Below are 27,540 nucleotides of genomic sequence, written 5' to 3'. Positions count from 1 at the left end.
GACTTACAATATTTTCAACTTACAATCGATTTATCAGTACATAACCCCATTGTAAGTAGAGGAGGATCTGCATGTCTATGTCTGTCCCTGTGTGGGGGGATATGTATGTGTGTGTGTGTGTGTGTGTGTGTATTTCAAGGCTAAGAGGATAATTATATACTCTTTCATTTTAGTGTGTTTTAGTCATTAATTTTATAATATATACAAAATGCTTCATCCAAATTAATGTGTGTTAGGAGACCTGGGATGTTCCATGCAAATGGTACAGAAGATAATTCTAAAAATGTAGTTTCCTATCTTATCTATCCAAAATAAGACGTATTTGTATTCTTAAGATTTCTGTAATTGTTTTTTCAATTTTTATTTTAGTTTCAGGTGTATTGTGTATGCAGGTTTGTTATATGGGTAAATTGTATATTGCTGAGGTCTGGTGTATGAGTGGTCCTGTCACCCAGGTAGCGGGCATAGTATACAAAAGTTAGTTTTTCAACCCTTGCCCCCACCTCCTCTCTTCGAAACTCCCCAGTGTCTATGTCTGTGTGTACTCAGTGTTTATGTTCTCATCTTTATGTCCATGTGTACTCAATTTTTAGCTCCCTCTTATGAGTGAAAACGTGGTTTTTTTTGTGTTGTTTTTTGTTTTTTTTGTTGTTTTTTTTTTTGAGACGGAGTCTGTCTGTCACCCGGGCTGGAGTGCAGTGGCACAATCTTGGCTCACTGCAACCTCTGCCGCCGAGGTTCAAGCAATTCTCCTGCCTCAGCCTCCCCAAGTAGCTGGGATTACAGGCGCCCGCCACTGCGCAGGCTAATTTTTGTATTCTTAGAGATGGGGTTTCACCATCTTGGCCAGGCTGGTCTTGAACTCGTGACCTCATGATCCACCTGCCTCGGCCTCCCAAAGTGCTGGGATTACAGGCGTGAGCCACCACGCCTGGCCTGGTGTTTGATTTTTATTTCTGCATCGGTTCATGAAGGATTATGTTCTCCAGCTGCATCCAGGTTATTGCAAAGGACATAATTTTGTTCTTTTAAAAGCTGCATAGTAGTATTCCATCATGTATTTGTATCACATTTCTTTATCCAGTCCACCATTGATGAGCATCTAGCTTGATTCCCTGACTTTGCTATTGTGAATAGTACTGCAATGCATTTTAAATTTGAAAAACAGGGTTTAAAGATCATGGAACAAACCACTTTCTTTTTAAAATGAGAGTGAGAAGCCCAGAATGTTGAGTGAATTGCCTTATGTCCCTCAACTAGAGATGAAGCTGGGATTTGAATTTGGATGTTTTGATTCCTTGTGCAGATTGATTTCAGATATTTCTCAGGGAACATTCTGAGAATTTGTGTTACCATTTCCTAAAATCTTAAAATCTGTGAATGCGGGGTTACAGTGAATAGCTTTCAAATATTCACCTGAAAAAAATAATAATAATGGAAAAAATATAGAGTCCTCTTCATAGTAATCTCCCGGAAATGTGCTCTTTCATCCAGTTCTCCCCTGCACCATCAGTTTTGGCTTCAATAACTATGTACTAAAAACATAAAGAGCAGCTACTGTGGAAGCACAAAACAACATTAGTGTCATAGACAACATTAGATCTCAACCTGCAAGACTAGTAGCTCTCTTACAAGATGGAATGACACACTAAACAGTGACTGTATGGAAACAAATGGCTGAGATTTGAAGTGGTTTCTAACACTTTGGGTGGGTGACAAATTCCCTTCAGGATCTGATGAAAACTGTTTACCTGTTTTCAGATCCAAAGGTGTTACTGGAATTCAATTATTGCAAATGTTAAATTTAACACACAATTTTGGGGAGTAGGTGCTTTGAAGTGCATCCACAGTTGAGTCTTAGTAACTATTTTTCAGTTTCTCACACACACTCACATGCTAACAAGCACACATTCATACTCATAGATTAGGCTTAGAAGTCTGTAGTGAAAGTTACATTACATTCTTTCGATGTCTGATTTGTATATAAAGATCAGTATTTCATCAAGTATCAGTGAATCATGGGAGCCATTGTTAATGTGAAGATAGCCAGTTTAATTTTTATATTGTCATTTTTTAAAATTTAGAAATTTGGATATTATAGCTGACTGCCTCTCATCTAAATTTAATCTTTTTTCTTAGTTTTTCTTCTATACTGTGCATTTCTTGTTTTTTAATGAAAAGTTGTTGTTTATGCAATATTTTAACATCAAAATATGAGTGTTTAAAAGATTTGCAGTCTATTCTTTATTTTCACATTTAATTTGTCAGGTAAGTGGTTCATCTGTTTTCTGACTTCCCAAATATAAGTAGGAATTGCTTATTACTCTTGAGAACAACAAATAATAAAATATCAAAAAATATAACCTTGCCACGACTATTTCTGGCTATAAAACCAGCTCATATACCATTTTAGCTCCTAGCAGAAAACTGTAATGTGACAAAAAGACTTGAAAGTATAAGGCCTATGACATTTAATACTATATAGTGTTCGGGAAAATAGTCATGTTCCTGCAGTACATTTTGATGTGAATGTTGACAGATTCCTGTAAAATTCAGGGAATTTTTGTTTAATTAAAAACATAATTACAGGAATTTATTGTGTGGTTGAATGGAGTTTTGAGGTGGCACAGCTCTACTCTGTAGCCAACTTTAGGGTCTTTGCATTTAATTTAAAGTTGCTAAGATGAAGTGGAATTATAATTAAATATGCAATTAGTGTATACATGTAAAGATTTCACTTGGTACAGAAAAAATAGCAAAGCTGAAGGAAATTTCATGTATACTTCAATAATCTGGATTATTTTCTGAACCGGATAAGTGTATTAAATAATTGCTGAAACCTTCTCTTTACTTATGTGACTGACATAAAGTTCAGATTTAATTTCAAATTCAAGATTGCCTTCAGCTTTTACTGTGTGTCCTTGGTTCTTTCACTTGAAACAGAATCAATCCAGTTAGTTCCTAGAAATAGAAAAATAAATTTCTGCAAATATTTTGCCAATAGATATTGAAAAACTTGCCACAGAATACACCTTTGTGTATATGAAGCTGTGGAATATGCATAATAAGATTAAATGCCATGACTCTGTCTTGGTTCATGGCCAGGAAGGTTTAGTTACTTAGGCAGTAAAATGGCATCTTTATAAAGCAATCTTACTTTGAAGGACATCTCAAATTATGAACTCCAAAGGGCACTGTTACAGTGAATTTCTAGTGTTCCTTGAATAAAGGCAATATATTTAGCTTGCAGAGGTTATTGGAATTCAATTATTGCACTAAGTATTCAGATATGAGTCTAATATACGCGGAGTAGTTGTCTGGAAGCTGTTGGACTAAAGTCACTGTCAGACCCCTTCACATAAAAGGATGAATGAATCACGGGACATTTTGCTATTCAAGAGCGCTGAAAGGAAGATGTCTCCATTTCCCCTTAAATCCTTCAATTTCAAATTTTTCTGGCTGCAGGTGGATTTTATATAACTTATTGAGGTCATCACACCAATTGCTTGTGCTTTAGGACAAGAGCAGACCATGAAGAGCGGCCTTGTTGTTATGCTTCACAGATCAGTTTGTACTGGATTTCAAAAAATAATGTCAAGTATTGGATGTTCTCAAGTGGTGTGACCCTGCCTTTCTTGAAAGTTAGCTATGGAAGAGTAACTTTGTACATGCCAGTCGTATCTAAGCAGAATAAAGGAGATAGGAAATCTTCATGCCTCAATATGTTATCTCTAAATCCAATCCATTATAAATCAATTCCATTTGATAAAATAAGTACTGTCCAGAGAGATATAATCCAAGGATAGTGTTAAGTCATTTGTGTTATAAAATATGAATTAATTAGATAGTTGCCTTGTGGAATTTAAGAGTTATGAAGAGGGGAAGAGAGAACACAGCATCATAAATCTGGAGAAAAAAAGAATTTCCTGGAGAAATGTCAGGGCTGAAGGAGGGACTTACATGCCAAGAACAGAGTTTATATCCAGGTGACAGCACGGTGTAGAGTCAGTCTATCATTCATATTTTTCATGTAATTTTCAAGTCACATGTGAGGACCACTGTGGTTATGGCAATCCTGCATGCTGAAGCCTCATGTTATACTCTATCTTATAGTTTCCTGCCCAAAGCAAAAAGTTAAAAATAAAACAAAGTTTGGGAACAAATTAGCTGACCCTGGTCAATTTGCCGATCTGTTCCTCTGTGAGTAATAGCTAATTTTCTGGTCCATGATGTTCGGAACATTGTCTTAATTGCTGCTGTATTCTCAACATATAGAACAATGTCCATTAAAAAATAGACAGTTAAAAATATTTTATGAATGATGATGAGGTAAGCCCATAGTAAATAAACTAGGACATTTTAAAATGTCTGCCTATGCAAAAAACCAATTCATATGGAGTCAAGTATTAAAAGCCATACAAAAGAAGTGGATTTAAATCTTCAATCCATCACTTAACTGCATAATCATATGCAAGTTATTTAACTTCTCTGAGTCTCAGTTTCTTAATTTATATAATGGGACTAATGATAATTCCTATTTTACAGGATTGTTTTATGAATTAGAGAGAATGTCTGTGAAGTGTGGTGTAAGAGGGCACTCAGCATGTGATAACGATAATTATTATGTGTGCTTTCATCTTAGCAAATCTCTGTACAGAGTGTTTTAGTAATAGCAGCCAACCCTGCATATGGAATACCAGTAATTAAACATGTATATGTTACTAAACTTACAAGCTCTTTACTTTAGAAGTACAAGCCTCTGAAAGACTACTTATACTTTTATTTTCTATCAGTAGTTCTTAGGAAATTGACTGTTCTGGTTTACATATAAGGCTTTAAAAATGCATTTTCCCCCAGCCAAGAAGAAAATATTCCAAGTCATAAGCAGCCATGAAAGTATTTTTTTAAGATACCTTAGATTTATTCAGCTTCTTTCTTCTAAGCTGCTCAGTCTACATCATGGATCTCATCTCCTTTATTCTTCTAACGTTTTAATGATACATTCTGATTTTTCTTGATTTAGGAATCTGTAATTTTTTCCTGTTTACTTTCTCATTTTAAATTTATTTTTCTTATTCTTTTTTTTTCAGTTGAATATCAGTAGAAGTTTTTTCTTGATTTGTTGTTACAATTTAAAAGTGTGGATGTTTTTAAGCACATTGTAGGCTACTTGATAGTGAATACAATGCATGTCTACTTAGAAGTAACCTATGCAACCTTTCTGAGAAATAGCACAATAGAGAAGAAAGTCTGGATTTATGGGGTGAAAAACAACTGAAGAGTGTTTTAAAATTTTTGTTCTACTGTTTGACCAATTGTTAATGCTAAATCCAAAAAAGACATGGGTAGTAGATAGAGTTTTGTAGTTATGTGCAAGGCAGAGAATTCCCACAACAAAAACAGATGCTGCTCCCCAAGTAGATAGTCAATCACACGGTGTTTTTTTTTTTGCAAACTGTTTCAGTGACCTTGGCTTTATTCTTAAAAGTTATATGCTTCTGATAGTACTTGAAAACTAACAAACAAATATCCAGAAAGAAAATTTAAAATACCAAAATAAATTTCCCCCAAGTAAAATTTTTTTATCGCATAGACAGATAAAGGAGAAGAAAACTCTCCTTTAATTTTTTTAATCCATCTTTGTTCCTGAATGCTTTGTTCTTTCTCATACTGTAGCTCTATTTAATACTAATGTATGGGTTGCAATGTCCAATTCTTTATTAATATATTTGAGAAAAACAAATGTTAACATGTCATATAGACAAACTTTCATAATAGCCGTGACGTGGTAGAAATTATCTAAACCATTTCCTGTTTGTTCAGTTATGAGAAATGGTAAGTAAGTAATGTCAATTATTATATGACATTGTATCTATCATTATGTTGTACTATATGTCAGTGATGCCCACAGGAACTATCAAAATATTTAGAATTTTTTGGCCACATATGTCTGTTTTAAAAATATTTGTTTTCTCTGAATATGTAGCCTTCCCTTGGTTAATCTTCACCCTTCCCGTCAGTTTATTAACTATCACTGCTGTTTTCTATTTTCTTTATTGTTTGAAAATGTTGATCACTACTTCAATTTTATGTTTATTATTGTATTTATGTCTTTTTTCCAGCTTTATTTTTTGCCAAATAAAAATTATAAATATTTAAGGTATACAATGTTGATTATTAAATACATGCATATATTGTGAAATGATTACCACAATCAAGCTTATTGACTTAGCTGTTACCTCACATAGTTACCTTTTTTGTCTGGTGAGAATACTTCAGATAGTAGATATACTCTTAATAAATTTTATTTATACAATTATCATAGATATTGTTAACTATAGTAACCATGCTGTATGTTAGATCTCCTGAAATTATTCATTTCGTAACTGAAAGTTTGTACCCTTTGACCAATATCCCCCCATTTGTTCTACCCCCCAGCCCCTGGTAACCATCATTATACTCTGTTTCTATGATTTTGACTTTTTCAAGTTTCATGCATAAGTGATATACAATATTTGTCTTTCTGTGTCTGGCTTCTCTGTTAAACAAAATGTCCTCTAGGTCATCTATGTTGTCACTAATGAAGGAATTTCCCTATTGTTGAAGGCTGAATAATATTCCATCATATATATATCACCTTTTCTTTATCCATTTGTTTATGTCTAGGAATTTATGTTATTTCTAGATCTTGGCTGTTACGAATCACACTACAATGAACAGGAGAGTACAACTATCTCTTCAAGATACTGATTTCATTTCCTTTGGCTGTATACCCAGAAGTGGGATTGCTGGATCATACGGAAGTGTATTTTTAATTTTTTCAGGAACCTCCATACTGTTTTCTATAATGGCAGTACTAATTTACTTTCCCACCAACAGTGTACAAAGTTTACTTTTTCAGTACATTTACATAAACACTCTTGTTATTTTTCATCTTTCTGATAATAGCCATTCTAATAGATGGGAGGTGATATCTCATTGCGGTTTGATTTGCATTTACCTGATGATAAGCAATACTTAGAATGTTTTCATACACTTGTTGCCTTTATATGTATTCATTGAAAAAATTTCTATTACAGTCCTTTGCCCACTTTTTATTGGGAGTGTTGAGTATTCTGAATTTTAATATATACCAACCTTTACTCGTGAGTTTTATACTTTCCTCTGTTATTATATTACTAATTAGCATCCTTCATTTTAAGTTGAAGAACAGTCTAGCATTTTTTCCAAGGCAGATCTAGTTTTGATGAACTCGTTCAAATTTAGTTTATCTAGGTAAGTTTTTATCCATCTTTATTTCTGAAGGACAGTTTGTCTGATAAAGCATCCTTCAGAGGAAGTTTTTATTTTTTCTTTCAGCATTTTCAATATATATTTCCACACTCTCCTGACCTGCAAGGTTTCTGTTATTAATCTGCTGATAATTTTATGGCATGTTTCTTATATGTGACAAGTCTTTTTTCTCTTGCTGCTTTTAAAATTCTCTTGTCTTTGATTTTTGACAATTTCATTATAAAGTGTCTTGGTGAAGTTCCCTTTGGGTTGAAACTGTTTGGGAACTTTCAAAAAATGTTTCTTTCTTTTAGGTTCAGCAATACATGTGTGGGATTGTTATAATATAGGTAAACTAGTGTCATGGGGTTTGTTGTACAGGTTAGATTGTCATCCAGGTACTAAGCCTAGTACCAAATAGTTGTTTTTTCTCATCCTCTCCCTCACCCCACCCTCTACCCACAAGTAGACCCCCGTGTCTGTTGTTCCTCTCCCAGAATCCATGTGTTCTCATCAGTGAGCTCCCACTTGTAAGTGAGAACATATGGTATTTGTTTTTTTCTCTTTGTCTGTTTTCAGATTTTTTTGCTCCAGTGGCAAACTAGAACTTCTCCACCTGACTCCCACACTTCCACAAAGGTACTGTCATCCATGGGTGGTTATCAGAATTTGTTCACTGTGGGGAGATGAGAGTAGAAAACTCTTATTCTGCCACCTTGCTGATGTCACACCTACTTCAGTTCCCTGCTATTTGTTTTCACTGGCTGGTCTATAGGAATTTCTCACTCCCTGGTGATTTGCTGAATCTTTTATTTTGTGGGATGGGAAGTCAGCTTTGCTTGTTCGAACTGACTGTAAAATAGCAGTGAGTAGAGTCAGAGTAAGAACTGCATGAGGAGGGAAGAGGAAAGAAAAGCCTTCCATGCTTTGAATCTAGAAGTATTTAACAGCTCCTTATAAATTTATTTATTTATTTATTTATTTATTTATTTTAGATTCAGGAAGTACATGTGCAGGTTCGTTCCATAAGTATATTGTATAATGCTGAGGTTTGTGCTTCTAATGAACCCGTCACCCAAATAGGAACATAGTACCGAAAAGGTAGTTTTTCAACCCTTGCCTCTCTCCCATCCTCTTCACTTTTGGAGTCCCCAGTGTCTATTATTTACATCTTTATGTCCATGTGTACACATTGCTTAACTTCCACTTATAAGTAAGAGCATGTAATATTTGATTGCCTGTTTCTGAGTTATTTCACTTAGGATAATGATCTGTAGCTCCATCCATGTTACTGCAAAAGGCATGATTTTGTTTTTTTCTATGGCTGCATATTATTTCACAGTGTATATGTACCACTTTTTGTTTAATCCAGCCCACTGTTGATGGACCCTTAGGTTGATTCTGTGCCTTTGCTAATGTGACTAGTGCTATGATAAACATATTGAGTGCTAGGTGTCTTTTTGATAAAACAATTTCTTTTCCTTTGGGTAAATAGCCAATGGTGGTATTGCTGGGTCAAATGGTAGTTAGTTCTATTTTTAATTCTTTGAGAAATTTTCTACTGTTTTCCACAGAAGTTGAACTAATTTGCATTGCCACCAGCAGTGTATAAGCATTCCCTTTTCTCTGCATCCTCACCAACATAATAGCTGCCTTTTTAAATGCAAAAAAATTCTGACTATAAAATGACCACTGGTATATAGACAGCCTTATGAATAAGGTTTATTTGTTTATTGTTTTCTGTGTGGAGTCATGGATAAATATCAATAAGGAAGTAATGTTGCATTTACTGAACATTACTTAAAGCTGAAGATGAAGGCTAAAAATAATATCATATCAACTATTGGTTTTGCACTACTGTAGTTGGCCACTTTAAAGAAGTTAGCAACTTTTTGTTTTAAGTGTTGGCAACAACGAGCTATCAAAAATATTTTAGATGAAAGCATACCATTTCAGTATCAACATCAGGCATTTTATTTTAGGCACAAGATGTTTTTATTGAAAGAAATGATGTGATTTTACTCATTTATGTTAAAAGCAGTGCAAAGCATGCCATATCCTTTACTTGTTTATTTGTTACAAACTACTTTCATTTTATTAGCCAATCAGCCAGGTTGAAATGTAATTTTTTTGAATTGCACCCCTTGCAGGCACTTCTGAAAATAAAAGTGTCAGCTTATTTAGATTTTTAGGCCTAAAGCATCAATTACCCCATACACAACATCTGAGGGAGCAGTTTTCAGGGATGTGGTAATCTGCACACAAATGTACGTGACATTATACCAATGGTATAAAGATCATGTGCCTATTTAGCAGTTGAAAAGCTTTTGCTTCAATATCCCAGAAGGTGGGTATTTCATGTGGCATAGTAGTTATATTCCTGAAAAGTTGTTTTAAAGTTGTTTGATGGCAAATTCTACTGACTGTATGAACTTGGGACAATTATGTCACCAGACTTGTTTAATAAGCATAGGTGTAGCTATATTCATTGACAAAATATTGAAATGGTGCCATTCTGGTAGACAAAGTGGCTTCAGCCACGAGCCCCTAAAAGATCCTCCTCCACCATTTACTTGGTTGTCCCCTTTGTTGCAGAAACCTTTGGATCTTCCCAATATTCAGGAAATAAGGAGAAGAGGGCCTTTAGGACTCAGTTAATACCATTAAAGCCAGTGTCCATTCTGATGAGCTGGTGCCATAGCACTTGTTAAGGAGTTTGTTACTTCTGCAGGCCACTTCGCTGGTCCTCAGTTTTCTCCTGGTAAATGAAAAAAAGTTTCACAAAATGGTGGATTATATGTTCATATTTTTAATATACAGATATAGATATATAGATATACAGCTATTGAGTGTAAAGCCCCAAGAGTGTCTGAGAAGACAAAGCTATATAGCCTTTCACCTTTCCCCAAGTTAGCAAGAAAATAATCCTTTTGGGCTCGTCACAGTGGCTCACGCCTGTAATCCCAGCACTTTGGGAGGCCGAGGCGGGTGGATCACGAGGTCAGGAGATCGAGACCATCCTGGCTAACATGGTGAAACCCCGTCTCTACTAAAAAATACAAAAAAAATTAGGTGGGCGTGGTGGTGGGCGCCTGTAGTCCCAGCTACTCAGGAGGCTGAGGCAGGAGAATGGCATGAACCCGGAAGGCAGAGCTTGCAGTGAGCAGAGATCGCGACACTGCACTCCAGCCTGGGCGACAGAGCGAGACTCCGTCTCAAAAAAATAATTCTTTTGCCTAGATCTCTCCTTCTCTCTGTCTCTAGATGTCTGTAAAAAAAAAAAAATAAAAATAATTTTTCCTTATCAGGCATGATGCCTCACGCCTACAATCCCAGCACTTTGGGAGGCTGAGGCAGGGGTATCACGAGGTCAGATCGAGATCATCCTGGCTAACATGGTGAAACCCCGTCTCTACTAAAAAGTACAAAAAATTACCCGGGCGTGGTGGCAGGCGCCTGTAGTCCCAGCTACTTGGGAGGCTGAGGCAGGAGAATGGCATGAACCCAGGAGGCGGAGCTTGTAATGAGCTGAGATGGCGCCACTGCACTCCAGCCTGGGCGACAGAGTGAGACTTATATATATTCCTATTTTTTGATAGTTTAAAGCAGCAGTATGAGATTTTACATGTGAATATTATAAATTAAACTCAAAAAAATTTCAGAAGTGTTGGAGATCATTTCTAAATGGAATATATACGGGTGGAGGGAATAGAAAATATGAAAAGTAGCCTACACTTTGAAGGGTGATGGAATTTCAGTTTGTAAATTTGGAGGGGTGTACAGGAAGCAAGAGCATTTCTACTTTAAGGGAATAACATGTATCAGAACTTGCAGACAGCTTCATACCATAGAACCTCAGGGCAGGTATGCAGCAGTGCTGTGCCATAGAACTCTGCAATGATGTATAATCGGCACTGTCCAATACCGTAGCCACTAGTCACAAGTGACTATTGAAGACTCGAAATGTGGCTAGTGCAGTAGAGGAACTGAATTTTTAATTTTATCTGATTTAAGTGTAAAGTGACACACATCGCCGGTAACAATTGCATTAAACAGTGCAGGTTTATTGGTGCAAGCATAGGTCTAATGTTATAAACAGAGAAAAGAAAATTCTTGAAAAGCACATTGGAGCCCTAAGATTCAAGATAAAGAATTTGGGCATACAGCATGTGTGACAGCAGTGGTGAAAGGAGGAGGAGCATAAATGCTTTAAGGCAGGGTAGTAACGCAACTACAACAGTGCTCTTAGTAGATTCCTCTGCTTGCTGTATGAAAGGCAAATTGGAGGAGGTTGAGGAGACAAGAACTTGGTTAGTTGTAACTGTAATCTAAGATAGAGGTAGGGTTGGTGCCTGTAAGTCTGGTGAAGTGACTCAAGTAAACTGGATTATTTATTTTAAAAAAGCACAATTGGTTTATTTAGAATTATCTACTCCCGGTTCATCTACTTTTGCAGATCTAGATTTCCTTATGATTTCTTATGTATGACTCTAATCTTAGGAGACTACCTATAATGATTGATTACATTTTGAAAGTGCAGGATGCTTCAATAATATAATCATATTTTCTTTCTATGTAAAAGACTATTGTTCCATATGATATTAAATCAGCAAAAGATAATTATTTTGTTATTTTACTTTTCCCCACAATTCTTTTTCATTGTTTCTGTGATGGTTACCAATGTGTTAAGTGTCTAAAATAAGGTTCTGAATAGTCATGGTCTCATAAAGCATCTATTTGTCATTGTAATTGATTTAAACACGTATGTGCAGACATTGGTCTGATTATCAGTGACTTTATGTATCTGTAGGATGCATCACTACATTTATAAAAATTGGGACTTTGCTAGCATGCTAGCTCATTGTTATGCATAGGTAGGAGGGGTCTAACTATCTAGAAAACCCGTTGGCAGAGATACCACAGATTGGACCAGAAACAACTCAGGAGGTGGTTTACTTGGCTCAGCAGCCGCGATTCTGGGCACTGAATGTCAGATCAGCAGCCTAGTATGTTAGCCAAAATGTCTGATTGAGCATCATAGTCTCCACAAAGATATCATTTAGATGATTTTTCATGAGGACTTATGCCAGGGAATCTGAGCGATCTTAAGAGTTTCAACAGAGAAAGCACTCATCAATTAAGAAAAACACAAGGATAATGAACTGCCAACATGTACATTTTTTTCTATCAAGCATTTGTTCTTTTGCATATTTGCATTTGCATAGAACTGCAGAAAACAAAGACAGTTAATTTGAGATTACATGTGTTTCTATTTTTATAATGCAAGCAAATTGGACTGCATTTTTCCTTGCCAAAATTTGTCTTTAGAGAGGATTATTCTTTTATTGTCCAGAATATGTTTTGAACTTAGACGTAAATAGAAAGCTGTATGACTTCTGGTCACTAAGTACAGAAACCCTGATATTCTAGATTTGTCGTTACAATTGAGAATTCTGTAAGTACCCGATTTTAATTTATTGATATTCCCAGAGAGGAGATAGTATAAAAAAGTAGACAGTGATAGATCTGGATTTAATTCCTGGCTCTTCCCTTTATTAGTTCTGAGGTTTTGATCAAAATATTTAACCTCACTGAAAGTTAGTTCCCTCATCTATAAAATGAAAATAACAAGTTTTATTCAGGCCAGGCATGTGGTTCAGGCCTATAATTCCAGCACTTTGGGAGGCCAAGGTGGGTGGATCACTTGAGGTCAGGAATTTGAGACCAGCCCGGCCAACATGGTGAAACCCCATCTCTACTAAAAATACAAAAATTAGCAGGGCGTGGTCGCATGCGCCTGTTGTCCCCACTACTTGGGAGGCTGAGGCAGGATAATCGCTTGAACCCGGGAGATGGAGTTTGCAGTGAGCCGAGATTGTGCCACTGCACTGCAGCCTGGGTGACAGAGAGAGACTCCATCCCAAAATAAATAAATAAATAAATACACAAATAAATAAATAAGTTTTATTCAAACAGTTTTTGTAATGATTAAATGTGGTAACTATATGTAAAATGCAGTAAAAGCTATTTGTGTCTATCCTGTCCAAAGCTTTTAAAATATAAAATCTGTCAGAAAAATGGGAGAGTGAGGTATTTCAACCACCTTTACAACATCAGAAAGAGGCTCACCTCATCATAAAGACACATTCCTTTGCAGCTTTAACATTGTAAACCTTATATCCTCATCACTAACCCTTTTAGCATGACACAGGAAAGCTTTGTAGAAATTTATTTTCCTATAACTCTGTGAAGGAAACATATACTTTCCTGGTGAAATTTGCTTAATGGGGACCAATTTTTTGTTTTTTCTGTTTTTTTTTTTTTTTTTTGAAAGTAAATGCACATTGCTTATTTCCTGTTGAAGAATATTGAATTCTTGGAAAACATTCATTTTGACTTTATACATGAGAGATTAGAGATGGTTATGTGGGAGAGTTGTGAAACTGGCGGTCAGGAAAGCCTTAGCTCACTGAGAATAATTCACCAATAGAGGAAAAAAAGAACAATGCTTTCTAATCTCTAATAATCATCGTTCCTTACTTGTAATTCTTCAGAAAAAAGTAGACCTTCTATTTCCTGAAAAACTGAAAAGTTCTATGAACGAGGAGACCAATCATCTTAGCTTGGTTCATTAGCAGAGCATTTTTAGTAACTGTAACACACCATATTATGTGGACCCTTCTTGTAGTTCCCTGCAATCTCTGCAGACTGCCCACTGTATGGGGTTATTTGATAAGGTACCAGAGGAGTTCAAAGTGGCTATTGCAGATACATCAAGAAAAAAGGATGACAGTGTTTTTGTTTGTTTTCAGTTTAAAAAATAGAAGTTCAGCGAGTACAAATTGAAAAGCAGAGAGCTGGAGTGCTCATTAAGTGCATATTGGTACACCACAGATCTGTGTGCAGTGCTTCATCCTCACTGTGTAAAGGTATGTCTGTAGGAGTGTGAAGCTTAAATCCTTCAGCCTTCTCTACTGTCTTTTTCAGTTCTAGTAGCATATTTTTTATATATATATATATATATATATATATATATACACACACACACACAAAATTATATATAATACATTTATATATAATTTATATATATTATACATATATAATACATTTATATATAATTTATATATATTATACATATATAATACATTTATATATAATTTATATATATTATACATATATAATACATTTATATATAATATATAAACACATTATATTATATATAAATCTATTAAACCAATTACTGATGTATAAGTAGCATAGATATAAAATATTTAAAATAAATATAAGGTTCTTTATAAACTAATTATAGAAACAGGGACAAATCTCCTGAGGTAAATTTAAAAAGTAACTATCAGAGGTTCTCCTACACTTTATTTTGCTTACTACTATAAGTAATCTGTTTTAATCCACAGATTCCCTATGATACTCAGGTTCGTATCTCCTAGTGGCCAGAGCTGTTTCTTTGAAAATGACTCTGAATAACATTGAGTGAATTTTTTTTAACGGTAACTCTATCCAATGATGTCTTCAGAGTTCGTACTCATTTTCTATAGGGTGGTTGGGCATTCTAAAGGGAGCCTGGGAAATAAGGAGTGTGGCAGAGTGCATATGGTAAGAGAAAATTAGTGGTAGGAGTTACAAAAACATAAGGGTACTGATAAGTATCGTATCATGTACTCCTCCCTCCTTCTTTCCTCACTTGCCACTTTAATTTCAACAGAAGAGCTGGCAATTTTGTTTGGAAAAACACAATACTGTGTCCTCTTCGTTGTGTATTTTACACAAAACTTATATGTTTAAGAAGAAGAATGAGGCCAGGTGTGGTGGCTTATACCTGTAATCCCGGCACTTTGGGAAGCCATAGCAGGTGGATCACTTGAGCTCAGGAGTTCGAGACCAGCCTGAGCAACTTGGAGAAACCCCATCTCTACCAAAAACACACACACACACAAATTAGCCAAGCATGGTGGTGTGCACCTGTGGTTCCAGCTACTTGGGAGGTTGAGGTGAGAGGATCGCTTGAGCTGGGGAGGTGGAAGATGCAGTGAGCCAAGATTGCACCAATGCACTCCAACCTGGGTGACAGAGTGAGACCCTGTCTCAAAAAAATATATAAATAAATAAAATTGTAAAAAATAAAAACGCCAAACAGTGTGGCATAAAGACTCAAATATATATATAATCACACCCAAATAATGCCTGCTAGTCTTTATATTAGTCATAATTCTTTAGAAAAAAGACAATCAATAGGATGTGTATACGTATATAGAAGATGACTTAAGGATTGCCTTATTCAGTTATAGAGGCTGACATGTTTAAAATGTGCAAAGTGGGTTGGCAGGCTGGAGACCCAAGAAAGAGCTAATGCTAAAGTTCAAGTCTGAAGGCTGATAGCCTGAAGAATTTCTCTTGTTCAGAAAGATCAAGACCAGATTTTTCCTAATCCTTCAACTGATTAGATGAGGCACACCCACATTATGGGGAGCAACTTACTTTACCCAAATCTGCTGATTTAAATGTAATCTTACCCAAAATCACCCTTTCAGAAACATCCAGAATAATGCTTAGCCAGATTATCTGGGCAATGTGGGCCAGCTATACAGATACATACTATTAATCCTCACAGTACCCAAAAGATGAGAAGTATTGGTAACGTAATCAGTGGTGAGCAGATCATCTTTCATTTTTCTTTTTTTTTTTTTTTTCCTCCTAAATATAAGCTGCTTAACTTGGGAGATACAGAGAAGAAGACCAAAGGCAGCTTTGAGTAGGAGGCTGCATGTGGCTACACAGGCTTTTCCCAGTGCTCCTTGCTGTTCCTCTACTCTATGTACAGATGTTGGAGAATAGAGAGGATGATTTTATAGTATTTTTAAGCTGGTGAAAGTAAGTCCCTGGATTATTCTCTGTTTTTCCTAGATTCCAGCCTCAGATCCAGTTGAGGTACACTAAACTTTTCTTGAAATGAAAAACATCCTGGAGATATAAATATTTCCCCCAAACAACTTAAATACTGGCAAACATAAAAGGACAATCTTGTACAGAACAAAAAAAATTTAACAGAAAAATGGAGAAAAGGACACAAGACTGACATAAAAACTTTGTAACTTGTGAAAAAAAGAGAATTTTGATTGTATTTCTTATGTAAGTTACATGGGTTGAAAGAAAATAATAAAAGCTATTACACAGTGTTTGGTCAAGAAAATAGATTCCATTATTACACAGTCATATACCAAAGGCCGTCAGTGGCCATGTACTGTAGGATCTTGGAACCTGAGGTTGGAAGAGCATACTACAAGCTGTAAGACTTACAGGCAATAAAATGCATGTGCAATGACCTATTATGTTTGAAATTCTATACATGAGGCCACTGGAGAGAGACAAAACAAAATGCATTGTTTCTAACAGAGGGAAACATTCTCCTGGGTGAAATGGGACATATATTCTCAAGCAGCAATTTGAAGACATTTCAGAATAAAGATCTGAGACATTTTCAGATGAAGACACAAAAGGTGTTGACTTTGACCCACAGTTGTAAATTGAAAACTGAAAACATGAAAAGTCCCTCTCTGGAGAGTATTAGTAATCTGCAAGATCAAATACTCACAACTCTTCCAATAAAGTGCTGACAGTGTCTGAATATTTACTTGATGACAGTTTTTAGAATTTATTTGATTGCAAATTGAATGTATATGCATCCTGAAGAAGTAAACATCCTAGTCATTATTATCAATTCTTATATTTAATAGTGGACCTGAACTTTTCTTTCAATAAATAAGAAACCAAAGCATGGTTACTTAAGAGATTTGGCAAATATACTACTTTTTTCTCTAAATCTCTTTATTTGGGGCATGGTTTCCTATTCAAATCATCATCAAATAGGTTTTTATTTATATAGATTCTTTTTTTGGGAATACCACTTCTAAGGATGCAATAGACCAGTAAGAGTAATTAAACACACACACGAGCTCAAAAGCAAAATTGAAAGATCACAAATGAAACATTTTTGAAGCTGGAAACTAGGTAAGTAAGATTCAGCTTTTTTCTTTCTTTCTTTCTGCTAAAATGACAGTGCAGAAAGTTAAAAAGCCCCCCAGTGTTCATTACGATACTCTTTTGTAAAATTTAAGATTTGTCCCACCAGGGACTTTTGCCAAAAGAGATGAAATTATGGCTAAATACCATAAAAGTAGTTTGGAGTCTCTTGAACAGTTAGACTTCTGTGTTGCTTTTCCTGTTCTTCAAAATAAGGCTACTACTCTTCACTCCCCCTACTAGAAAAGAAGAACTTTATTCCCCAAAGAGGATAAAACAGGTTCTCTGGCCTGGAGGACACGTGGACACAGGATAGGAATACAAAACTGAAAGGAGGAATATGCATACTAAACGCTGAAACACTTCACCCTGCCTGACTCTCCCCTCTTATTGAGATCTACAGCAGAACCCAGGCAGCCAAGTTTCATCCGAGCAGGAAAATGTATGAATCTTCTGTAGGGAATATGTCTTACTCAAGAGAAAAGACCTAACAAAAATGGCAGCAGAAAACCCTTAAGTAGAACGAAATCAGCTAGATCATAGTGAAAAATGGGTTCAACAGACCCATTGTTTTTTTTTTTTGGTTTTATTCTATTTTTATTTTTATTATACTTTAAGTTTTAGGGTACATGTGCACATTGTGCAGCTTAGTTACATACATATACATGTGCCATGCTGGTGTGCTGCACCCACTAACTCGTCATCTAGCATTAGGTATATCTCCCAATGCTATCCCTCCCCCCTCCCCCCACCCCACCACAGTCCCCAGAGTGTGATGTTCCCCTTCCTGTGTCCATGTGATCTCATTGTTCAATTCCCACATATGAGTGAGAATACGTGGTGTTTGGTTTTTTGTCCTTGCGATAGTTTGCTGAGAATGATGGTTTCCAGCTTCATCCATGTCCCTACAAAGGACATGAACTCATTATTTTTTATGGCTGCATAGTATTCCATGGTGTATATGTGCCACATTTTCTTAATCCAGTCTATCATTTTGGACATTTGGGTTGGTTCCAAGTCTTTGCTATTGTGAATAATGCCGCAATAAACATACATGTGCATGTGTCTTTATAGCAGCATGATTTATAGTCCTTTGGGTATATACCCAGTAATGGGATGGCTGGGTCAAATGGTATTTCTAGTTCTAGATCCCTGAGGAATCGCCACACTGACTTCCACAATGGTTGAACTAGTTTACAGTCGCACCAACAGTGTAAAAGTGTTCCTATTTCTCCACATCCTCTCCAGCACCTGTCGTTTTCTGACTTTTTAATGATCGCCATTCTAACTGGTGTGAGATGGTATCTCATTGTGGTTTTGATTTGCATTTCTCTGATGGCCAGTGATGATGAGCATTTTTTCATGTGTCTGTTGGCTGCATAAATGTCTTCTTTTAAGAAGTGTCTGTTCATGTCCTTTGCCCACTTTTTGATGGGGTTGTTTGTTTTTTTCTTGTAAATTTGTTGGAGTTCATTGTAGATTCTGGATATTAGCCCTTTGTCAGATGAGTAGGTTGTGAAAATTTTCTCCCATTTTGTAGGTTGCCTGTTCACTCTGATGGTAATTTCTTTTGCTGTGCAGAAGCTCTTCAGTTTAATTAGATCCCATTTGTCAATTTTGTCTTTGTTGCCATTGCTTTTGGTGTTTTAGACATGAAGTCCTTGCCCATGCCTATGTCCTGAATGGTAATGCCTAGGTTTTCTTCTAGGGTTTTTATGGTTTTAGGTCTAACGTTTAAGTCTTTAATCCATCTTGAATTGATTTTTGTATAAGGTGTAAGGAAGGGATCTAGTTTCAGCTTTCTACATATGGCTAGCCAGTTTTCCCAGCACCATTTATTAAATAGGCAATCCTTTCCCCATTGCTTGTTTTTCTCAGGTTTTTCAAAGATCAGATAGTTGTAGATATGCAGTGTTATTTCTGAGGGCTCTGTTCTGTTCCATTGATCTATATCTCTGTTTTGGTACCAGTACCATGCTGTTTTGGTTACTGTAGCCTTGTAGTATAGTTTGAAGTCAGGTAGTGTGATGCCTCCAGCTTTGTTCTTTTGGCTTAGGATTGACTTGGAGATGCGGGCTCTTTTTTGGTTCCATATGAACTTTAAAGTAGTTTTTTCCAATTCTGTGAAGAAAGTCATTGGTAGCTTGATGGGGATGGCATTGAATCTGTAAATGACCTTAGGCAGTATGGCCATTTTCACGATATTGATTCTTCCTACCCATGAGCATGGAATATTCTTCCATTTGTTTGTATCCTCTTTTATGTCGTTGAGCAGTGGTTTGTCGTTCTCTTTGAAGAGGTCCTTCACATCCCTTGTAAGTTGGATTCCTAGGTATTTTATTCTCTTTGAAGCAATTGTGAGTGGGAGTTCACTAATGATTTGGCTCTCTGTTTGTCTGTTGTTGGTGTATAAGAATGCTTGTGAATTTTGTACATTGATTTTGTATCCTGAGACTTTGCTGAAGTTGCTTATCAGCTTAAGGAGATTTTGGGCTGAGACTATGGGGTTTTCTAGATATACAATCATGTCGTCTGCAAACAGGGACAATTTGACTTCCTCTTTTCCTAATTGAATACCCTTTATTTCCTTCTCCTGCCTAATTGCCCTGGCCAGAACTTCCAACACTATGTTGAATAGGAGTGGTGAGAGAGGGCATCCCTGTCTTGTGCCCATTTTCAGAGGGAATGCTTCCAGTTTTTGCCCATTCAGTATGATATTGGCTGTCGGTTTGTCATAGATAGCTCATATTATTTTGAAATATGTCCCATCAATACCTAATTTATTGAGAGTTTTTAGCATGAAGGGCTGTTGAATTTTGTCAAAGGCCTTTTCTGCATCTATTGAGATAATCGTGGTTTTTGTCTTTGGTTCTGTTTATATGCTGGATTACATTTATTGATTTGCTTATATTGAACCAGCCTTGCATCCCAGGGATGAAGCCCACTTGATCATGGTGGATAAGCTTTTTGATGTGCTGCTGGATTCAGTTTGCCAGTATTTTATTGAGGATTTTTGCATCAATGTTCATCAAGGATATTGGTCTAAAATTCGCTTTTTTGGTTGTGTCTCGGCCCGGCTTTGGTATCAGAATGATGCTGGCCTCATAAAATGAGTTAGGGAGGATTCCCTCTTTTTCTATTGATTGGAATAGTTTCAGAAGGAATGGTACCAGTTCCTCCTTGTACCTCTGGTAGAAGTCGGCTGTGAATCCATCTGGTCCTGGACTCTTATTGGTTGGTAAGCTATTGATTATTGCCACAATTTCAGATCCTGTTATTGGTCTATTCAGAGATTCAACTGCTTCCTGGTTTAGTCTTGGGAGAGTGTATGTGTCAAGGAATTTATCCATTTCTTCTAGATTTTCTAGTTTATTTGCATAGAGGTGTTTGTAGTATTCTCTGATGGTAGTTTGTATTTCTGTGGGATCGGTGGTGATATCCCCTTTATCATTTTTTATTGTGTCTATTTGATTCTTCTCTCTTTTTTTCTCTATTAGTCTTGCTAGCGGTCTATCAATTTTGTTGATCCTTTCAAAAAACCAGCTCCTGGATTCATTGATTTTTTGAAGGGTTTTTTGTGTCTCTATTTCCTTCAGTTCTGCTCTGATTTTAGTTATTTCTTGCCTTCTGCTAGCTTTTGAATGTGTTTGCTCTTGCTTTTCTAGTTCTTTTAATTGTGATGTTAGGGTGTCAATTTTGGATCCTTCCTGCTTTCTCTTGTGGGCATTTAGTGCTATAAATTTCCCTCTACACACTGCTTTGAATGCGTCCCAGAGATTCTGGTATGTGGTGTCTTTGTTCTCGTTGGTTTCAAAGAACATCTTTATTTCTGCCTTCATTTCGTTATGTACCCAGTAGTCATTCAGGAGCAGGTTGTTCAGTTTCCATGTAGTTGAGTGGTTTTGAGTGAGATTCTTAATCCTGAGTTCTAGTTTTGCACTGTGGTCTGAGAGATTGTTTGTTATAATTTCTGTTCTTTTACATTTGCTGAGGAGAGCTTTACTTCCAAGTATGTGGTCAATTTTGGAATAGGTGTGGTGTGGTGCTGAAAAAAATGTATATTCTGTTGATTTGGGGTGGAGAGTTCTGTAGATGTCTATTAGGTCTGCTTGGTGCAGAGCTGAGTTCAATTCCTGGGTATCCTTGTTGACTTTCTGTCTCGTTGATCTGTCTAATGTTGACAGTGGGGTGTTAGAGTCTCCCATTATTAATGTGTGGGAGTCTAAGTCTCTTTGTAGGTCACTCAGGACTTGCTTTATGAGTCTGGGTGCTCCTGTATTGGGTGCATATATATTTAGGATAGTTAGCTCTTCTTGTTGAATTGATCCCTCTACCATTATGTAATGGCCTTCTTTGTCTCTTTTGATCTTTGTTGGTTTAAAGTCAGTTTTATCAGAGACTAGGATTGCAACCCCTGCCTTTTTTTGTTTTCCATTGGCTTGGTAGATCTTCCTCCATCCTTTTATTTTGAGCCTATGTGTGTCTCTGCACGTGAGATGGGTTTCCTGAATACAGCACACTGATGGGTCTTGACTCTTGATCCAATTTGCCAGTCTGTGTCTTTTAATTGGAGCATTTAGTCCATTTACGTTTAAAGTTAATATGGTTATGTGTGAATTTGATCCTGTCATTATGATGTTAGCTGGTGATTTTGCTCGTTAGTTGATGCAGTTTCTTCCTAGTCTCGATGTTCTTTACATTTTGGCATGCTTTTGCAGCGGCTGGTACCAGTTGTTCCTTTCTAAGTTTAGCGCTTCCTTCAGCAGCTCTTTTAGGGCAGGCCTGGTGGTGACAAAATCTCTCAGCATTTGCTTGTCTGTAAAGTATTTTATTTCTCCTTCACTTATGAAGCTTAGTTTGGCTGGATATGAAATTCTGGGTCGAAAATTCTTTTCTTCAAGAATGTTGAATATCGGCCCCCAGTCTCTTCTGGCTTGTAGGGTTTCTGCCGAGAGATCCGCTGTTAGTCTGATGGGCTTCCCTTTGAGGGTAACCCGACCTTTCTCTCTGGCTGCCCTTAACATTTTTTCCTTCATTTCAACTTTGGTGAATCTGACAATTATGTGTCTTGGAGTTGCTCTTCTCGAGGAGTATCTTTGTGGCGTTCTCTGTATTTCCTGAATCTGAACGTTGGCCTGCCTTGCTAGGTTGAGGAAGTTCTCCTGGATAATATCCTGCAGAGTGTTTTCCAACTTGGTTCCATTCTCCCCATCACTTCCAGGTACACCAATCAGACGTAGATTTGGTCTTTTCACATAGTCCCATATTTCTTGGAGACTTTGCTCGTTTCTTTTTATTCTTTTTTCTCTAAACTTCCCTTCTCACTTCATTTCATTCATTTCATCTTCCATTGCTGATACCCTTTCTTCCAATTGATCACATCGGCTCCTGAGGCTTCTGCATTCTTCACGTAGTTCTCGAGCCTTGGTTTTCAGCTCCATCAGCTCCTTTAAGCACTTCTCTGTATTGGTTATTCTAGTTACACATTCTTCTACATTTTTTTCAAAGTTTTCAACTTCTTTGTCTTTGGTTTGAATGTCCTCCCTTAGCTCAGAGTAATTTGATCGTCTGAAGCCTTCTTCTCTCAGCTTGTCAAAGTCATTCTCCATCCAGCTTTGTTCCGTTGCTGGTGAGGAGCTGCGTTCCTTTGGAGGAGGAGAGGTGCTCTGCTTTTATAGCAGAATCCCAAGGATTATTAGATATTTGAAGAAAGCATGTTATACCAAAGAGACTAAAACAAACAAACAATAACTCGGAGAAAAGTTTTCACCAAAAGAAAGCTTCAAAATATCTGGGATTAATATCCTCAAAGATGTGAGAAAAGGTTCTTCATCTCGAAAACAAGAACACAGATTTTTTTTTTTTTAATGTTGGAAACTAAGATAGTGTAAATGGAAAAATACAATGAAAGTTTTAGGGGGTAAAGTTGAAAAGCTGTTCCAGAATGAAAAGCAAAATGTCTAAGATTGAAATTAGGAAAAAATAAGAATAGAAATAAAATAAAATAAAATTAGGGAACCCACAGAGAAAATCCAACGTCTTAAAACATAGAAATCCCGGAAGGAGAAAACAGAAAATATAGCATAGGAATTCATGAAAAAAAAAAATCATAAAAAGTTCCCAGAATGGAAAGACATATGCTTTTATAATGAATAGACTCACCATGTGACCATGTTCCCAGTCCTATGAATAGCAATAGATCCATCTTAAGACACATCATTGAAAAGTCAGTACCCTGGATACAAAGAAAGGAAATATTTAAGCTTTTGGAGGGAACATTAATATGAAATAAGCTAGTAAACAATAAGACCAAGTGTTCGTGATTCTGATGAGACAGTATGAGTTATAATCTAGGGTTCTATGGCTAAGTATGCAACAAAGTATTTAAGACTTTTATCTCCCGTGCAGTTATTTTCTTAATGTTACTGGAAGATGTTTTAGCTGGTAAACCAAGAAAGAGGACAAGAAATCTAGGGAATAGGGCATCCAATCTAGAAGAAAGGTAGAGGGAATCACCCATCACAAGGTGACAGCTGTAGGCAGGTCTGGAGAAACACCCAGGGTAATTTGCAGCAGGATGAGATTTATCAGGAGGGCTTGATTTAACAAGGTAAATTTATAATTTCTTGTATATTTACATGTATTAACAAAAGTGATATATGGGATATGGGGGCAAAGGATTAAATGACAGTTAGCGATTATTACTAAAACACAGAAAGCAATGGCAACAAAACCACACAATTTAAAAATCGTACAATAAACTGAAAAAATAAAAAGGATTAATATTTTTATAAAAGGAAGAGTAGAAGTAATGTCTGACATGTGTATCCTGTAAATAGTGCTTATATCAATATGGCAATGTAAAAATTGCATATGCAACCAAACCATGATATGACATAATGATGAGAGGCTGAGGACACACGTGTGTCAGAGAGCAAGGTCTGCCAAAGTGGTGTTGAAAAAGGCTTGATTTGTATCTTCCAAAATAGAATGTCAATATACAGTGTCTAAATCATCCCTTCCCCATCCAAATAAATTAAGAAGTAGCAATATAATCATATTGCAGAGAAATTTGCATATAAATAAAAATAGAATCATGCAAACTATTTGAAAGTGGTTGCCTCTGAGAAGCAGGAAAAAGTATGTAATAAGAGTAGTCTGTGGCTTTTGTGTACAACCACTGAATTATATAACTTTTTAAGCATGAGCATATAATTTGGATAAAAGCAGAACATAATTTTAAAATATTGTTATTTTAGAACACTGGAAATTTTAAATCACCTAAAACCCTACCTCTATTAAACTATTTCAATAATAGTTTGGTTTCCTTTTTTCTAACTTTATATATCTTTAGATATAGACGTATATATATGTAGGTAATAATAAATATACATACTTTATATAAGTAGAAAATATTTCACAGAGAGATTGATGGATACAAGGCCATTTATAGTTCTGTGAATTATTAGATTATTTGCCTAGTTTTCTGTGGCAGTCTCTGGTTTTATTATACTAAATTCTAAGAGATGGGCCTATTTCAGATATTCTAGTTTTATTTTAGTAATCTATTTAAAGTTTAAAATATTAATACAAGACTTGCTTTAATGATTATCTTTTTATTGTTTTATATTTGGAAGAGAGGCTACTCAATGACTTTACTGCCTTTATGTATTAATCTACAGAAATGTGTGGAGAACACTATATTGAATGTTAATATACTCTGAAGATTACAAGCAATTACAAAATTTGTATTCTCATTTGTATTCATGCTGGATCTCCTTCTGCTTCTTTCTCTCATAAGTAACTACTGATTTGGATATTTATCATTCTTTTGTACATATTTAAATTTTCACCATAGGAATATGTAATCCAAAATAATATGTAGCATTGATTATATATTTTAAACTTCTAAAATTTATATCATGCTATATGTATTTCTTAACCAAGAATTTTATAAACATTATTTTATATGACTCCTTACATTGATGCATGTAGCTTTAGTTCATCTATTTTTCACTGGTGTTTACTATTCTATTTTATGAAAGCAAAAATATTAAATGGTAATTTGTTTCACAGAGTGTTTTTAATATTCAAAGATAAGTTCAATTGCAGCAGCAATTCAAAGCCCAAGAAGAAACAAATTACCATAGAGTGTCTGTTGATGTAGCAAATAGGAGAAATGGCACCCTGACAATTACTGAAATAATAGAACAATTTGAAAGATATAATAAAATAAATATGTTTAAGAAGTGTATTGAATTAAAAGTAGACAAAAGAAGGCATGCTTGGAAATAATTATATAGAACTAATAGAAATAAAAATACAGTCATTGAAAATAAAACTCAGTTAATTTAAACAGAAGATCAGATGAAGCTGAAGAAAGAATCAGTACTTTGAAAGATAAATCTGAAGAAATTATAAAGGATGCAGCACCAACAAAAAGGGAAAAACATATGAGAAGTTAAGCAACATAGCACATAAAATGAGAGAATGAAAAGATCCCATGTGTATGTTGGAATAATAAGAATTACAGAAGAAGAAAGTAGTGAAAATGAGAACTGTGCATATTGATGCTTAATTCTTAGTAATTTTCCAGAATTTAAGGCAAGTACTCAAATAATGCACAGCTTTCTGAGAGGGATAAATAGGAATAAATCCAAATTTAGACACATTGAATTTAAAATATAAAATGCAAAGATAGATACTTTTAACAGCAATCATAGGATTATCTAAAAATGAATGGCAATTCAAGTAAATAATTCTAATTAACAACAGGATGTTGTGAAGATAATTAAAATACATCTAAAAATTGCTAACAGAAAAGAAATGTCAATTTTTAGTTTTATGTCCTGTTAAATTATTATCAAAAATGGAGGGTAAAATGATATTTTCGAGAACTATTAAAGAGTATGAGAAAAAAATAAAAAACAAAATGGATGAATATGTTTGAAATAGCCATAATTGACAAATAAAATTTATCTGTTATATGTAAAAATTAATACTTTAATAGAAAAAGGTAAATAGATAAAAGGAAAATAGACAATGAATATGTTAAAACTATTCTGTGACTATCATTTAAAAAGATACTACTATTAGTAAAAAAAAATACTAAAATATTACACATGATAATACCCATTATTGGTAAGGACATAGTTCAGTGGCAGCTTTCATACACTGCTACTGCAACTGTAAACTGGTACAACTATTCTGGAGAAAATATCTAGTAAAAGCATAGATGAACAAGTCTTGTATAATAACAATTCCATTTTTAACTTTAAACCCTACGTAAACCACTGAGCACATGCTCAGTCAGCTCCCTACCACAATGTTTATTGCATCATTCCTTTAGTTAGACAGGCAAGAAATAAGGAAATAAACAACCTCAATATTCATCAATATAGATGAATGAAATTCCGTTTAGCATTTTAAATTAATGAACTAAAACTGCGTTCATTAACATGACTCAAACTGAAAAATATGTTGTTGCTTCATAAAAACCAGTTGGGGATGGATACTGACAGTAAGATAATATTTATGTAAGATTTAAACACACACAACAATGATATGTATTGTTTATGGTTACCTAGGTGTGTGTGAATAATTCAAAATGATGGAAAATAGTTAACCTGTAGAGAGAAAATAATGGTTTTATTACATCTGAAGCAATTGTATGTCATTAAAAATAATATCTGAAAGAACTGTATACAGGTTAATATTTCAGAACTGTGTACAGGTTAATGTTTTGCAGTATAAAATATGTATTATATCTATACAGTGAAAGCAGACATTTGTTTTATTATATTCTGAACTTTTCTACATTTTTGGAATATTACCCAATTTATACAAAATAAATATGTAAAATGAATAAATGTATTTAAGAATAAAGTTAATATCCCTTGGGTGAAGTTGTTAAACGAAGTGGTAACAACTTCATGTGTCTACATTTTTATAGTAACTCCCTGAGGTAGTTAATACACAATTGCATTTTTTCTTCTATGTTACTATTATATAGAATCAAATATTTTTTTTTTTTTTTTTTTTTTTTTTTTGAGATGGAGTCTCGCTCTGTTGCCAGGCTGGAGTGCAGTGGCTCAATCTCGGCTCAGTGCAACCTCTGCCTCCTGGATTCAAGTGATTTTCCTGCCTCAGCCTCCCGAGTAGCTGAGACTACAAGTGCCTACCAGCACACCTGGCTAATTTTTGTATTTTTAGTAGAGACAGGGTTTCACCATG

General features: G+C 35.4%; 1 protein-coding gene and 1 long non-coding RNA gene across 15 annotated transcripts in view; one reads left to right on the top strand and one right to left on the bottom strand.

The window, feature by feature from the left end:
* LINGO2 (leucine rich repeat and Ig domain containing 2) overlaps window positions 1-27,540 on the top strand; it is a 1,275,985-nt gene that overhangs the window by 637,543 nt on the left and 610,902 nt on the right. For 3 of the 14 annotated variants that reach the window (XM_047422810.1, XM_017014303.3, XM_047422811.1), the window contains exon 4: window positions 14,085-14,201. The exons of 10 other annotated variants lie outside the window; for them this stretch is intronic. The gene's annotated coding sequence lies outside the window, so the exon portion shown is untranslated. Of the gene's footprint in view, window positions 1-7,851; window positions 7,912-14,084; window positions 14,202-27,540 lie in introns of all 14 variants that reach the window. One more of the 14 variants, XM_047422813.1, reaches the window with a different exon arrangement.
* Window positions 1-27,540, bottom strand: part of LOC105376004 (uncharacterized) — a 57,191-nt gene that overhangs the window by 20,871 nt on the left and 8,780 nt on the right. Inside the window, exons 2-3 of the long non-coding RNA XR_001746641.2 lie at window positions 23,470-23,542; window positions 9,934-10,030 (exon numbers count right to left, since the gene is read on the bottom strand). This is a non-coding gene — a long non-coding RNA (uncharacterized LOC105376004). The remainder of the gene's footprint in view (window positions 1-9,933; window positions 10,031-23,469; window positions 23,543-27,540) is intronic.

This window comes from Homo sapiens, chromosome 9, assembly GCF_000001405.40.
Source record: "Homo sapiens chromosome 9, GRCh38.p14 Primary Assembly".
NCBI classification, from domain to species: domain Eukaryota; kingdom Metazoa; phylum Chordata; class Mammalia; order Primates; family Hominidae; genus Homo; species Homo sapiens.
This window is presented reverse-complemented; position numbering and strand designations above follow the sequence as displayed.